At 45.9% G+C, this 16,449-nt stretch overlaps 1 protein-coding gene and 1 pseudogene across 6 annotated transcripts in view, besides 2 other annotated features; both read right to left on the bottom strand.

The window, feature by feature from the left end:
- Positions 1 to 16,069, bottom strand: part of DIXDC1 (DIX domain containing 1) — a 95,339-nt gene extending 79,270 nt beyond the window's left edge. For 3 of the 6 annotated variants that reach the window (XM_017018466.3, XM_024448743.2, NM_001278542.2), the window contains exons 1-2: positions 15,997 to 16,069; positions 13,474 to 13,566 (exon numbers count right to left, since the gene is read on the bottom strand). In XM_017018466.3, coding sequence (XP_016873955.1) covers positions 13,474 to 13,530 — 57 coding nt within the window. In that variant the 5' untranslated portion in view covers positions 13,531 to 13,566; positions 15,997 to 16,069. Of the gene's footprint in view, positions 1 to 5,824; positions 6,042 to 13,473; positions 13,567 to 15,996 lie in introns of those variants that run through there. The other 3 variants (NM_001037954.4, XM_024448742.2, XM_017018467.2) reach the window with 2 other exon arrangements.
- Positions 6,165 to 6,264: a silencer, noted in NCBI's record as "silent region_3904". NCBI's record gives its function as "represses an Ori minimal core promoter by ATAC-STARR-seq in GM12878 lymphoblastoid cells {active_cell/tissue: GM12878}" and the evidence as "EXISTENCE:reporter gene assay evidence [ECO:0000049][PMID:35858748]".
- RNA5SP351 (RNA, 5S ribosomal pseudogene 351) lies at positions 14,876 to 14,984 on the bottom strand (annotated as a pseudogene).
- Positions 16,047 to 16,286: a silencer, noted in NCBI's record as "silent region_3903". NCBI's record gives its function as "represses an Ori minimal core promoter by ATAC-STARR-seq in GM12878 lymphoblastoid cells {active_cell/tissue: GM12878}" and the evidence as "EXISTENCE:reporter gene assay evidence [ECO:0000049][PMID:35858748]".

The following is a 16,449-nucleotide window of genomic DNA, read 5'->3' as shown; positions in this document are numbered from 1 at the left end:
TCACCTGAGGTCAGGAGCTCGAGACCAGCCTGGCCAACATGGTGAAACCCTGTCTCTACTAAAACTACAAAAATTAGCCGGGTGTGGTAGCACATGCCTATAGTCCCAGCTACTGGGGAGACTGAGGCAGGAGAATCGCTTGAGCCCAAGAGGTGCGAGGTGGAGGTTGCAGTGAGCTGAGATCACATCACTGCACTCCAGCCTGGGTGACAGAGTGAGACACTGTCTCAAAAAATAAATAAATTGAAATCAAAATTTAAAAAATAAATAAATTGTCCAACACTCTGAGTAGTGTGATGAAATCTTGTGCCATCCCACTCTGTTTCACCCAAGACGTGACTCATCCCTTTGTCCAGCATATTCAAGCTGTCTGTGCTACCCGTCATCTTCTTATTGGAACGACTGCCAAGGTATCGCAGTGCTTGTGTTCAAGTTGCCCTTGTTTTACTCTATAATGGCCTCAAAGTAAATTAAATTTGTGGGTAGAAAACATGAAGAGAAACAGGCTCCGACTGATGGCAGTCAGGTTCAGTACCATCCACGGTTTCAGGCATCCACTGGGGGTCTTGAGATGGATGTCCCTTGGATAAGGGAAGATTAATATATTAGTATTCAGCCCAGTGGTCAAAAGATAATATATCAGAAAGTAAAGAGCTAAAGATTTTCTGAAAGATATCATCTCCTAAACTTATTTTTAAATTTCCATCAGTTATGAGTCCCCAAACACTCTCTGCTCCTTCACAAGTACATGTTACAAGGTAAGTGCTCAATAAATGCATGTGAATGAATGGATGAATGAAGTATCACTCTATGGTCTAGGGGTGTCCCTCATCCTAGAAACAGGAGATAAGAGCCCACCCTCAGGGCCTGTGGAATTGGTTCTCTATTGCCTTACCACATCTAGCTAATATCCATGACCACTTTAATGGAGCTTGGTTTGGGGGAATAACAAACAAGAAAATGCATTCAGGAAAGTGTCAGTTTTAGCCTTTGGTCCTTACAGCCTAGACAACAAGGCCAATCATGGCAGATGAAGCCTTTCTAGTGTTCCCTAGATCCTCTGAACCGCCTCGGGGAGTGGCACCTGGCTAACAGTGCCCTATCACTGCTCCACATGCCTGGCCAACTCATCACTCACCACGAGGAACATAAAGCTGCCTGATAGCCTGCTGCCAGGGTGCATCTGTTTAGCTGGCATTGCCTCCTGTGGGAATGAAGCCAATGAGCCTGGGTGGGGAGAGGAGAAATCAGGCAGGATAGAAAAAAGAAGGTTGGGGAATCTGGTGCTGAGTTGCTCTGTAGACTTAACAAGCCTTTAATTTCTACAGCAAAGCACAGAGGAGTTCATTGTGAAAATGTCTGGAAGCCTCTAATTGGCCCAGTGTTGACGCCACCGCTACTCTATGGAGGGCACAAGGCCTTTAGGAGCAATGTTTCACTTTCCAATCTTCTTCCTCACTCACTCTATGTCCCCCTTATGGAGATGAGACCAGACTAAAACTCTTCGTGGGTGTGTGTGTGTGTGTGTGTGTGTGTGTGTGTGTGTATTTTGTTTCGTTTTGTTTTGAGACAGAATCTCACCCTGTTGCCCAGGCTGGAGAACAGTAGCAGGAACATGGCTCATTGCAGCCTCAACCTCCTGGGCTCAAGTGATCTACCCACTTCAGCCTCCCAAGTAGCTGGGATCCCAGGTATGCATGCCACCATGCCCAGCTCATTTTTTTTTTAACTGTAGAGACAGGGTCTCACCACGTTGCCCAGGCTGGTCTTGAACTCCCGGGCTCAAGCCATCCTCCTGCCTCGGCCTCTCAAAGTGCTGGGATTATAGGTATGAGCCACTGTGCCTGGCCTATTCCTATATTTCTAAGGGACTGCCAAGCGGATGAATCTTAATGTGAAATTTCAATTTCTACTTTTCTACTTGGAGGAAAACTGGTAGGGAAAGTCTGCCAGAACTTATGTTCAAAAGCTTAAGGTTCGGACAAGTGATTTCCTGTCAACCATCATTTTCATAAACCATTCCCCCAACTTTCAGCCCCCAGGCCATGCACACCACAGCTGGGCCTACGTTCACTCTTCCCCACAAGTAAGATTTCTGTATCACCTCAATTTTCCCAAGTTTGACACTCTGAACATCTACTGTGGCACGATCTTAGCTCACTGCAATCTCAACCTCCCAGGTTCAAGCGATTCTCCTGCCTCAGCCTCCCGAGTAGCTGGGATTACAGGCGTGAACCACAGCACCCAGCCTGTCTCTTTTTTTAAGAGATGGGTCTCTGTCATCTAAGCCGGAGTGCGGTCACCAGTCACGTGCGGTCACAGCACACTGCAGCCTCTAACTCCTAGGCTCCAGTGGTCCTCTTGCCTCAGCTTCTCAGGGAGCTGAAACGACAGGCATGCACCACCGTGCCTGGCTACTTCCTCTTCACTGGTCTGTGAGCTCCAGTAGGGCACAGACTCTATGTTATTGGACTTCTATGTATTTCCAGAGCCTGGCACAGTGACTGGCAAACACAGTAATTCAGAGAATGTCCAGTGAATGACTGCTTGCATGCATGTACCAGACGAGCAGGGAAAAAATCTGGCCTCAATGAGCAGATGGATTGGTAAATGTTCAGTCCTTTTCATATCAGTACACCCTATCTCTCCCTATAAACTCCTTGGAAGCAGGAACTGAATGTTTTTCAATTCTTTTATCCATCCCCTTTCAATAAACTACTGATTTATGAATAACTAATGAATAACTGAATAAATGAATGCATATTACCCAAACCGTATTATAATCTCAAGTCGCTCAAAACCTCCCAACACAAGCACCAAAGTTGTTTTTAAAGAAAGTTCAGCCCCCCAAAAAACACTTGCAGAAATCCATATTGGCACATTTACAACATTCATAGGACAACACCAATATCAAGCAGCAGAGAAAACAAATAGCTTTGAGGCAGATGCAGATTGGGGAGATTGTGATCTATAGGAAGCCTGGCCAAGCCATAGGAAATGGGGGATGACAGCCAGGGTGGCAGTAGCCAAAACCTGTGGATAATTTGCCATCCAAATTAACCATGCCATTCAAAGGCATTGCATTGAAAGCACTGACAAGGATCAATTCCGTGAGTTATTTGCCAGACATGTTGAGGCCAGGGCTCTGTGTAGGAAATGCGGTAAGAGAAAACTCTGTCATGCATGGCTATACATAGTGGCAAAGGATTGAGAACAGAAGCCAACAGTGGGTAGAGGGAAGCCAGGATTCAGAGGGCAGGGTTTCTCTCTGCTGCAGGGTTCCCTTATAATTAACCAATTAAGGCCAAAGCTCCATTCCCTGTGGCAGTTTTCTCTGCCATAGAGAATGAGGTCACAGCCCTAACTACACAGACCTATAAGGCATCTGGGTGATGAAGAATAGCTTTAGATGTACTTGGATCATTCCCAGGAGGTGACTGGATACATGTGTGGTATTTGTAGACTCAGTAGGAATTCTCAGAAGAATTAAAGCGTATTCTGACACTAGCTTTTAAATCACTGTTTACATCCTTATCTCAAGGACTCTAAAAAAATAAATTGATATTACTGGATCGATTAAGCAACCCTGGAGGCTGGAATAGGTCAAATAGGGCCCCATGGACTCTAAAATAACCAATTACACTATTATTCAGTAGCACTAAATGTAATATTGTATGTAAAATGAATTATTTAATATAGAATGTGAAAGAATTATTTAAACTGTAAGGAACCATTCAAATTTAACATATTACTGTCATTGTTATTTAGATGATGTCAATTTTTCAGAGAAATCAAAAGTACTCATTGGCTGTCAGAGTTCAAATCTAACAGAGAGGAACAGACGTACACTAGCTTGTGGAGGGGATGGAGGGAAGTTTACAGAATGGGTAGAAAAATCAAATATCAGAGAAGGAAAAGAGGCACTACTGCATTATTCTAGGGATCAATTAATTAAAAAGTTATGCATCTGTTGTTTTTATGAAGATTCCATTACCACCACAAAAAGACCACTCTCCCATTCCCCTTTTCCCTTATGCCCTTATGTTTTTCAAGAATTGGAGGTCAGGGGATATTTATGGAAGCACCAAAGCATGAAACACACGGCCAAGCCTCTTAGTTTAGGTGGCTCTTCAGTCGAAAGGTTTCGAAGTGAAAATGAGCAGAAAACTAAGATTAGGACCAGCTCTGTGCTGGTTTCCTCCTCTTAAACAGACAGTGGGACCATCAAGAGCTGAGTTTTGTTGTTGTTGTTAAGTTGGGGCAGGAGGTATAAGACAACTAAAAGAGCTTCTGCCACAGTTGGTGAATGAGTCAGACTTACGCAGCTAAAGACCAGGGGCAGCCCAAAGGCAGAGAGTGAGAAAAGAGGAACCAGAATATTGGAATCACTCAGAGGTAGGCTTCCCGGCTCTTCTGTGTTTCAACTCTTAGACTACAGCTCTTTGTTAACAATCCCCTTACGTGTGTTCAGACAGGAAGGATGCAAAGATGAGGTGCCCTGCAGTGCAGACAGGATGCAAGCTCCGCCCTTCAGTGAAGGTTGTGACACCCCTTGGCCAAAGGAAAATTCCAACTCGGTTAGGTTGGGACAGCATTTCTGCAGTTTTCCTCTGTGTTAGGAACAACGCTAGGGCACGGGGGCCAGACCAGGGGAGGGTTCTGTGGCAGGTCAGGCTGCAGAGCTTCTTAATTAGAAACAGGAATTAAGGAAGGAGTCTGTAGTGCAGCTGGAGAAATAAAATCTTATACACGAATTCATGAGAATGGTTATTTCTGGAGAAAAGGCTGGAATGGGTGGGGGGAGCCAAAGGCACTTCAGTCTTGCCTATCAAATGCTCATATTTAAGAAGACAATGTATTCATATGTTGAGTAAAAACTGATTTTAAAAATCTTAAATTTCAGAGAGTCACAGAGAGAAGAAAGAGAGAGATGGAAGGAAAAGGAGCGAGAGAGAAATGAAGAAAGACACAACTAACAGCCTAGGTTTCCCTGGATGCTGGGCTAAGACAACCCGCAAGAGTAGGGCTTAGCTGCAGTCGAAGACGTATGGAGCAAATCTTGAGGGGGAAGCATCCCAAACCAGAATTTCCTGGGTCACAAGAAAAGCAAATGCAATAAACAGAATTGTAAGAGAAACAAGTGGGGAGGAAATGACCCCTTGTCGGCCCTAGCCCATCTTGCCTGTCAGAGTGAGGCCCCAGTTCCTCTGCTCTCACATGGACCGGTGCACGCGCTGGCTCCCTGGACCCAGGACCCAGGTCCCCTCTCGCTCAGTAGCTCCTCTCAGACAACCATGTCCTTGATTGCAGAGAAATCTACTGCCCCGCACTCAGAAAGAGATTCAGACATGAAGAGGGCACTTCACATGGACCATCTACAGTCCCCTGCCCTCTCAAACTTTCTACCAATGCAGTACCACTCCACCCTCCCTTGGCTCCGCTGGTTAGCTCCTGATATAGATGAGCACTTTTGCCAAATATCCAGGGATTCCCTGAGGATTTCCTTGGAGAGAGAAGCTCTAGGGAGGATGGAGACCCCCTCTTCTGGAAGGAGGTGATTTCTGAATTTGTGGTCCTGTCCTCTTGGGCTCAGGTAAGCTACCAGGGAAGGTCATGGCCCAGCTTAGCTGTGGGCAGGCAGCCCTTCTGATTTCTCCTGGTTCACCCATCTGCACCGTAAGTACCACCTTAGCCCCTTTGGGGTTCTGGGGGCGATTTGCTCTGGGGTCCCCAAAGGATGGAGGAGGAGGAGGACCCCTTCCGGAGACTGGGCGGGAGACGCTGGGGGAGGGGAGCTGAGGAGTGGGAGGAGCAGGACAGTTACCTCATTGAAGCCCTCCTGCAGGACGTCCAGTAAGTTCCCTCGGGTCAGGCAGGCTAGCATTGTTCCTGCTGGGGGCTCCCCGGGCGGGGTCTCCAGCCCGGCGGCCGCCGCCGCCTCCTCCTCCTCCCTCTGCACACAAAGGCTCTCGGCTCAGCTCATTGGGATCCCTCCGGAGTCCCGCATGCCACTTACTGGAAACCTAGACTGGAGCCAAACTAGCGGCTTGCACTGGGCATGCTCGCACGGGGGCCTCCGCTGGAGGGGCCCGGCGCGGTCGCGGTTCCTATGGAAACAACTGGGCGCGCACTAGGTTGAGCGGCGCTGCCGGGCTGCCCCCAGCCCCGCTTTCCTGCGGGAAAGCCGCACGGCCAGGCGGGCTGGCGAGGGCGCGCGCTGCACGCCCGCACGCACGCGCACACCCCCCCCCCGCCCGGGCCGCAGCACGGGCGTGTGTGCGTGCGCTACACACACACACACTCACACGGCTTTTAGGCAAACGTGCTGCTGTATGTGCGCGCTGTGTGCATACACACACACACACACATACACACATACACACATACACACACACACGTTGACAAACAGGCGGCCCGGCTGGCGTATGCATGCGCTTGCAGCCGCGCGCGCGCACACACACACCAGGCTTGCAGGCGGGTGTGCCCGTGGGGAGGGTGCGCAACACACACACACACACACACACACACACACACACACTGCTAACTTAAGGCCACAAACGGCCCACCAGAAGGTGGGTGGGAAAGGGAGTGAATCATAGGATTTTCCCCCAGACTAACCGAAAACAGCAACCTTTTTCCACATGGGCCCTGGACAGTGAGGTCAAGCTAAAGAAGAGGAAGCAGAAGGGAAAGAAATAAGAAAGAGAAAGAGCAGAGGAAGAAAGGGGGAAAAGAGGATAAAAAGAACTTTAGTTATTGATGGTATCAGAACACATTCAATAGAACAGTGCTAAACATCACGCAGGATCGCAACAGAAACATCAAGGATGACCAAGCCTTTTCCAAAATTTTCCTATTTCATTCTTTATAAAATAACTGCTAAAATATACAACCCATATTTTAATGTGTTTTAAAATAAATGGGCTTTAATTAAAATAAAGACTGCAAAAATGTCCTGGTGCATTTGAAAGAGGTAAAAAGCTTCCTCAAGTGAAACAGAAAGCTATTCTAGGCTGTTTCTAGCTATTCAAGTCATAGCCTTGATTATTTATTTTTAGGAATACTAGTCATTTGCAACTCAGTGCAAACTCTTGTTTCTATAGGAAAACTCGAAGCTGAAAAAACATTCATTTTACATTCCACCTCGTGATCCCAGATGGAGAGGAAGGGTTTACAGAGCATTAGGGCTCAGAGAAGGTCAGGGCCTTGTCCAAGGACGCAGCCAATCAGTGACAGGCAGCTCAAGGATCTAGGAGTCTACACTTATGATTTTCTGGAAGACCCAGATTCCTCCTCAAATCCTGATTAGTACCTTAGCCAGAAAAGTCAGTAATGGCTCTTATTCAACCTAATGACCTCTTCAGGTCCTTAGAGAAAAAGAAAATCCACCAAGAGCAGCCAGGCTAGCAATATCTTGTCTGAATGTCTAAAGCTGCTAAACACAAAGATGTTTCTGAAAAAGAACACATCTCCCTGACCACAACAGGCAGGGGGCAGAGGGCCAGCACAGGTGTTGAGTGGCAGCTGCTGGTTGAATGTAGTGGGTTCAATTCTGGCTAATGCTGGGGAAAAGCTAAGACACCAAATCATTCTAAACCTGAGCAGCCCACAAGTCCAAAGACCACTGTCCTTCATAATCTAGCTGAGGAATTTAACTGCCAAGAACTCCCTTTGACACTACCACACTTCGTGGTGTAACACCCCCGGAGAGTCACTAACCCATGTCAATTCAACAAGTTCCTTTATAAAGAGAAGCATGAAATTTCCAACAGCACAGACTTGCATGCAATACATCTACGTGCATAATGATGCAAAACCAAAGTACCTACTTGGTGGATCCCTGGGTAGAGGATCCTGATTGGTTGAGAGCCCCTCATGCTTTGTACACAGAGCAGAAAATATTGAGACATCAGAGGGAGATCCTGCTGACAGTTATCTATGCCAGAGGTCAGCGTTTCTCAAACAAGTCTTTGATCAAAGTAGGATCTGTGAGCTCAGTGTTTCTGGAAAAAGACTTATGAAATCACTGAATTTTAAAGCTCCAAAACATTTTGGCCCAACTTCCTTACTTGGCCCAAGTCCCTTATATCATAGAAAAAGCAACCAAGGCTAGGAGAGGTGCTCACAGTCACTCAGCAAGTCAGTATGGAAACTAAGATCTGAACCAGAGGGCTCTGAGGTCTGATCCTGTGCTCTTTGCACTGCCCATCACAGCATGCTGGAGGAATTAAGAGAGAATTGTAGTGAATTGATTTTTTAAAATGTATTATAAGGCATATGGTCCAATATTGCACTATTCCCTAAAAGTCTATAACTATACAAACCACATATTCTAGAGCAATGGTGTTCACTAGGACTGTCTGTGAAGATGGAAATGTTCTATATCTATGCTGTACAATATAGTGGCCATACGTGGCTACTGAGCACTTGAACTACAGCTAATGCAACTGTGGAACCAAAATTTTAATGGCATCTAATTTTGATTTAAATAGTACAATTTCAAAATATTCATTCTATTGTTCCCATATGACTATTAAGATGTGTTCCAAAAATTATACTATTTTACATAGTCTGCCTCTCACATTTGGAAAAAGCACAAAATTCCTGTCAGACCATATAATGTCCATTTTTTTTTTTGCTCAGAAGAGATGTTCACCACAGTTATCTTAGTTGGCCTTACAAAGTGGCTCAGATGAAGAACTGAGCTTTAGCTCCAAACAACACTAACATTTAGTATTCCTTCCATCCTCCCGATCCCACCATGTTGTAATATCAACATAAGAGCTGGGAGAGTATGAGGGCTAGCTACAAGAACTAGGAATAACTGGGACAATGATCAGGCATCCCATAGTGTTTGTATGTGGGAAAACTGCAAGCCATCTGGGTAGCTGGAACCACTTCTGCTGCTGCAGGGCTGTCATTCACTCTGCCTGGAAGCAGAGGCAAAGAAACCCAGCAAACTGCTTTCTGCATATCCCTGCCATGCTGCCTGATTTCTGAACTTATACCTGGCTTCCTCAGTCCTGCATTATTTTGACAATAATGGCAGACATTTCCCCCACAAACTAAAAGCTACCCAAATATCTATATATAACAGTAATAATAGCAAAATTGAGCTTTTACTGTGTGCCAAACCCTGTACTCAGCACTTAGTATTAGCTCATTTGACTGTCACAATTACCATAAACAGTAGGATTTTTACATATAAAGAAAGAGAGGTTTGGAGAAGTAATTTGTCACAGACCCAATAGCTACTAAATGGTGAAGCCAAAGTCCAGGTTCTTAACCATTATGCAATACTGTCATATGAAGAATGCAACATTACATTACATAAGAATGCAAGATTACATTACAAAAATGTAAATCTATTTTTACTTGAAGGAATGAATGAGCCAGTGGGAGAAACATTAATCACGTCTGTTAATAAATAGAGTAAGATGTTAGCCTAAGTAAGACTTTGAGCCTTAAAATAAAACCATCATTTGGTGAAAATATTGCCTGTGACTTCTCTCTGCATAAAAATAAGAAGTGTGAAATTCAAATCTATATAAAATGTAACACAACTATTATGGCCAATAATTCATGACTATAAAGAAACAGAAAGGCAGTTTGAATAAACAAATAATTACAATTGTCAATAAAAATATTTTAAATGACCCTTGGAATAATGTCTTTTTTTTTTTTTTTTTTTTGAGAGAGAGAGAGACAAGATCATCTCACTCTGCTGCCCAAGCTAGAATGCAGTGGCACAAAAAAATTACAAAATTAATACAAAAAAATACAAAAATTAGCCACTCATGGTGGTATGTGCCCATAGTCCCAGCTACTCAGGAGGCTGAGGTGGGAGGATCGCTTGAGCCCGGGAGGTTGAGGCTACAGTGAGCCGTGACTGCACCACTCCACTTCAGCCTGGGCAAGAGTGAGACACTGCCTCAAAAAAAGAGAAAAGGTCCGGGAGCGGTGGCTCACGCCTGTAATCCCAGTATATTGGAAGGCCAAGGCGGAAGGCGGGCAGATCACCTGAGGTCAGGAGTCCGAGACCAGCCTGACCAACATGGAGAAACCCCCTCCCTACTAAAAATACAGAATTAGCCGAGCATGGTGGCGCATGCCTGTAATCCCAGCTAATCTGGAGGCTGAGGCAGAAGAATCGCTTGAACCTGGGAGGTGGAGGTTGAGGTGAGCCGAGATCACACCATCGCACACCAGCCTGGGCAACAAGAGCGTAACTCCGTCTCAAAAAAAAACCAAAAGAAAACTCTAAATGGTCTAGCTTGTTCTATACTGTGTCATTTAGTACTTAATTATACGTAATTTAGGAATGTGAATCTTTATCTCTTTTACTGTATTCTCAAGCCAAATATAAATAATTTTTAGTATCCTGTATTTTCCTCTCATTCATTCATACATTGTTTCATTAAACATCCATTAAATAGATACTGAGCACCTCTTATGAGTCATTATATGCCAGGTCTTATTCTTTTAGCAAAAACTTGAATAACTGACAGTTACACATAAATATACACATAACACATGGGGCAAGAAACAAGACTGGAGGGAAGAATAGTAAAAGGAAGACTAGTAAAACTGAGAATCCGATGACTAGTATGTGAGGAAAGAGTATACATGATGAATGTGACAGACTGAGTGGGCAGAAGAAGGGAGAAAGACAGAATGGTGAAAGACTAGAGTAGGATGTCGCCAAAGTAATCACCAGATGCTAGTGCTTAATATAAACCACACCAAAGCAGATATGTGAAAATATTCTACATGATTTTTTCTTTTTTTTTTTTTTTTGAGACGGAGTCTCGCTTCTGTCGCCCAAGCTGGAGTGCAGTGGAGCGATCTCGGCTCACTGCAAGCTCCACCTCCCAGGTTCACGCCATTCTCCTGCCTCAGCCTCCCAAGTAGCTGGGACTACAGGCGTCCGCCACCACGCCCGGCTAATTTTCTACATGATTTTTTTAACCTATTCCTGGGTTATGGATTTTTTTTCTTTTTTCACATGAAGTTTTAAAATTCACATTTCAAAAGTTATCTGCCAGTGGCCAGGCGTGGTGGCTCACGCCTGTAATCCCAACACTTTGGGAGGCCGAGGCAGGAGGATCACTTGAAGTCAGGAGTTGAGAGACCAGTCTGGCCAACATGGTGAAACCCCATCTCTACCAAAATAAAAAATAAAAAAATTAGCCAGGCGTGGTGTCCTACGCCTGTAGTCCCAGCTGCTCTGGAGGCTGAGGTGGGAAAATCACTCAAACCCGGGAGGCAGAGGTTGCAGTGAGCTGAGATCGTGCCACTGCACTCCAGCCTGGGAACAGAGTGAGACTCTGTCTCAAAAAAAAAAAAAAAAAAAAAAGGTTATCTGCCAGCTAGCCTGTGGGTGAGTATTATATTAAGACTAGCGACATCTGGTGGATATTTTGGAAGTGACACTTGAGTTTCTCTACGACTGCACTGAAAATGCACCCCTATGCCTCTGGGCTATCAGTTGATCAGGTGTCAGAGCTCCACATCAGTAATTACACTAACATCAAATCATCTTTCTGCAAGATTCAAGGTCTCATTGCAACAGGTAGCCTGATTTCTATCAAGGACCTAACTCCTAACTGATGTCCAGCTGCCTTCTGAAAGATGTATACAAAATCTGACGCTACAATTGTTGTACGAGGTAATTTATTATTTTAAATGTTGACAGTCTTTGATGTAGTCTTTTTTTAATTATTTATTTATTTATTTATTTTGGGATGGAGTCTCAATCTGTCACCCAGGCTGGAGTGCATTGGCACGATCTCAGCTGACTGCAACCTCTGCCTCCCGGGTTCAAGTGATTCTCCTGCCTCAGCCTCTCGAGCAGCTGGGATTACAGGCGTCCGCCACCACGTCCAGCTAATTTTTGTTTTTTTAGTAAAGATGGGGTTTCACTATGTTGGCCAGGCTGGTCTCAGACCTCAGGTGATCCACCCCCCTCAGCCTCCCAAAGTGCTGGGATTACAGGCGTGAGCCACCGCACCTGGCCTGACATCAGTCTTTAAAAAAATTTTTTTTGAGACAGTGTCTCACTCTATTGCCCAGGCTAGAGTGCAGAGGCACAATCACAGCTCACTGCAGCCTCGACCTCCCAGGCTCAAGCAATCCTCCCACCTCATTCAGCCTCCTGAGTAGTTGGGACTACAGGTACATGCCACCACACCCAGCAAATTTTTAAATTTTTTGTAGAAAGGGGGGGTCTCGGCCAGTCACGATGGCTCACACCTGTAATCCCAGCACTTTGGGAGGCCGAGGCAGGTAGATCATTTGAGGTCAGGAGTTCGAGACCAGCCTGATCAACATGGTAAAACCCCATCTCTACTAAAAATACAGGAATTAGCTGGGCATGGTGGTGGGCACCGGTAATCCCAGCTGCTCGGGAGGCTGAGGCAGGAGAATCGCTTGAACCCAGGAGGCGGAGGTTGCAGTGAGCCAAGATGGTGCCACTGAACTCCAGCCTGGGCAATAAGAATGAAACTCCATCTCAAAAAAAAAAAAAAAAAAAAAGGAAAGAAAGAAAGAAAGAAAGGAGGGTCTCACTATGTTGCTCAGGCTGGTCTTGAACTCCTGGCCTCAAGCAATCCTGGCATCAGCCTCCCAAAGTCCTGGGATTACAGGCATAAGCCACTACCTCACCTGGCCTGACATAGTCCTAAATAAGGAAATTAATTATTTACAATGTGGGGGGCAGGGGTGAGCGAACCTAAAAGTCCAACAACAGAGAAGTGGTTAAGAAAATTACAGCCATTATAATGTTTACCAAACGTGCCCACATTAAAACAAACATTTTAACAATTTTATGTTAACGTTAAGTGAAACAAAGCAAGTTAAAAAGTTTGTGCAGCATATGATCGCATGTTAAAAATTTACTAACACAGTGAAACCCCATCTCTACTAAAAATACAAAAAATTAGCTGGGTGTGATGGCACGTGCCTGTAGTCCCAGCTACTCAGAAGGCTGGGGCAGGAGAATTGCTTGAACCCGGGAGGCAGAGGTTGCAGTGAGCTGAGATTGCTCACTATATATATATGTATATATAGTGACTGCAAGAATATTTTCCAGAATATTAACAGTGTGCTTCTGGGTGGGAGAATTACGGTTTGCATTTTTTAAAATCATAGTTTGCAATATTTTTCCAATGCTCTGTAATTAACATACATTATTGCTATAACAAACTTTAAATCTTTTAAAAACGCATACATTCTGATTAATTGCTAGAATTTCTCAACCTCTGCCTTATTTTATTAATTCCAGAAAAAGATGACTCGAGGTCCAAGAGAGCTATTAATAGAATTTCCACAAGAAGGAAAAGCAAAAAAAAAGACAAATATATTAAAATTCTGTTCCAGGATCTGAGTCCTGATGGAGAAATCCCCAGAAGTAGAACTGTATTGAAATTCCAGTAACATCATCACGCTTTTCACAATAGTACACCAAAAACTTACAGAAGGCTCTGTTGGCAGCAAGGAGTTATTGAATCTCATAACCACTTGGGTCCCCATCTTCAAGAGTCCCTAGAAGAGACGAATCAGGGCCATCTAAAACAGGAAGAATAAGAAATGTACAAAATAACAAGCCAGGAAAAAAAAAATTTAAAGCTCAACTAACCGAGTTGGGGCCAGACCCCTCCCCAAAACCTACCAACTTAAGTCATCTTGAAGTATCAGAAATAGGACCCTAGTTAGCAGGAAGTCCAGCTGAAGATATTACAAGCACAACAGGGCTATCCCAGTGGCATTTTAAAATTTACTTTTTTTTTTTTTTTTTTTTTTAGAGATAAGGTCTCACTCCGGCACTCAGGCTGGAGTGCACTGGCACTGTCATAACTCACTGCAGCCTTTAACTCCTGGGTTCAAGTGATCCTCCCACCTCAGCCTCTCAAGTATCCAGGACCACAGGTGTGCACCACCACACCCAGCTAACCCAGTGGCATTTTTAAACCTAGTTGCTTAGGTATTAATACTAATAAAGTGAAGAGTAATACTCCCCTATCGTTAGTCAAGCAACAATGCATTTTCCTTTCTTCCTATATTTATTAGTCAAGGACCACAGGAAGTATTCTGAAGATAATCAGGAGAAATACTGGAAGCTCTGCTACTGGCATTTACTTCCTTCTATCCTCAGAAACTGAGTTTTAACCCAGAGAGGCAACATGTGTAATTCTTTTTTTTGTTGGGGGGACAGAATCTTGCTCTGTCGCCCAGGCTGGAGTGCGGTGGCACGAGCTCGGCTCACAGCAACCTCTGCCTCCCAGGTTCAAGCGATTCTCCTGCCTCAGCCTCCCGAGTAGCTGGAACTACAGGCACGTGCCACCATGCCCAGCTAATTTTTGGTACTTTTTTAGTAGAGATGGGGTTTCACCATGTTGGCCAGGCTGGTCTCAACTCCTGACCTCGGGTGGCCTCCTAAGTGCTAGGATTACAGGCGTGAGCCACCGCGCATGGCCCGGCATGTATAATCCAAAGACAGAAATTTGTATATAGCACTTTAAGCTTACGAAGTACTATCATCTACATCATCTTATTTGACCTTTGCAGTAAATAATCTTTGAAAACAGAGTTAATGATTCTACCTTTTTTTTTTCCCACTTTTTTGAGACGCAGTCTCGCTTTGCTGCCCAGGCTGGAGTGCAGTGGCGCAATCTCAGCTCACCGCAGCCTCGCCTCTCGGGTTCAAGCGATTCTCCTGCCTCAGCCTCCAGAGTAGCTGGGATTACAGGCCCCGGCCACCACGCCCGGCTAATTTTTTTTTATTTTTAGTAGAGACGGGGTTTCGCCATGTTGGGCATGCTGGTCTCGAGCTCCTGACCTCAGGTGATCCACCCACCTCGGCCTCCCAAAGTGCTGTGATTATAGGCATGAGCCACCGCGCCTCGCCAGTATTATCCCGGCCTGACCCTGCTTAGCTTCCAAGATCAAACGAGATCGGGCGTGTTCAGGGTGGTATGGCCATTAATTTTTGTATTTTTAGTAGAGACAGGGTTTCGCATTGTTGGCCAGGGTGGTCTCGAACTCCTGACCTCAGGTGATCTGCCCGACTCAGCCTCCCAAAGTGCTGGGATTACAGGCGTGAGCCACCACGCCCGGCCACCTTCATTTAATATATAGAAAATAGGCTACAGAGTTTCTCCACCAATTAGTGGTGGGGGTCAGTCCTCCAACCCACCTTTTCTGAATCTGCCTGCATTGAGTCTTTGCCAGACAACGGGCCGGGAAAAAGTGATAATGGTAATGATATAATAGCAGCCAACATTTGACTACAAAATATGTACTTGTCGCAAGTGCTTTAAATTCTCACACTTTATGGGGCTAATACTATTTTTTTTTTTTTTTTTTTTTTTGAGATGGAGTCTTGCTGTGTCCCCCAGGCTGGAGTGCTTTGGCGAGATCTCGGCTCACTGCAACCTCCGCCTCCCGGGTTCAATCGATTCTCCTGCCTCAGTCTCCTGAGTAGCTGGGATTACAGGCCCGTGCCACCATGCCTGGCTAATTTTTGTATTTTTAGTAGAGACGGGGTTTCACCATGTTCGCCAGGCTGGTCTCGAACTCCAGACCTCAGTGATCCGCCCGCCTCAGCCTCCCAAAGTGCTGGGATTACAGGCGTGAGCCACCGCGCCCGGCCAATACTATTATTGCCAACTTTTGTGTGTGCGTGTGCTACAATTTCATTTTCAGTACTCTACCAGTCTTTAATCATCCCTCTTAGGGACCAGCAGAGAGGCAGCGGTATCTGGGGAGAACGGAGAACAGATCGAGAAAGGGGAGTGCGTTACCCCTCCTCTCTAAGCTCTGAAAGTCTGAAGCAGAAAACTGCACACTAAGAATGTACAAGGCTGAGGGCGGTTTGGTCTTTGAAATTTTAGCCTCCTCTAACCCACTTCATCCTCGCCACCTCCGCGTGTCCCCAGTTTCGATGTGGATGATCAACTTGGGTAATATTTTTGTTACTCGCCACCTTTCAGCACCTACCTCTTAAATGATGGGTCCGTCTGGTTCAGCATCTCTGTCCCCAGCCCTCCTGAGCTCGGCCTGCCAGTGCTCTGGCTTTGCCGCGGTTTCCCGCTGCCATGGTGATGCGGGGGCCGGCCACAAGCCCCGCCCGACTCCAGCCAGCCAGAGCCAGCCCCTGCCGGCCTTGGTCCCGCCTCTGGCCCGCCGGATCCCGCCTCCTGCAGGCCCAGACCGCGCCCCCTGGACCCAGATCCCCCCCAACTGCCGTTCCGGATCCGCCTCACCAGGAGCATCCGACAAACAACCAATCACGGCATGGACACACCGCCCCAGGAACTGCGCCCTCTGCCAATGGTAGCCCGCCCCCTTTCTCCTAAACCCCACCCCCCTCCAGCTCCGCCTCCAGCCGCGGCCTGGGGGTGGGGCCGGAAGGCCTGTCTACTGGCTGGACTTTCGAACCGCCCTTAAAAC

This window comes from Homo sapiens, chromosome 11, assembly GCF_000001405.40.
Source record: "Homo sapiens chromosome 11, GRCh38.p14 Primary Assembly".
Classification (NCBI taxonomy): domain Eukaryota; kingdom Metazoa; phylum Chordata; class Mammalia; order Primates; family Hominidae; genus Homo; species Homo sapiens.
The sequence above is the reverse complement of the archived record's forward strand: the minus strand, read 5'-3'. Positions and strand labels throughout refer to the sequence as shown.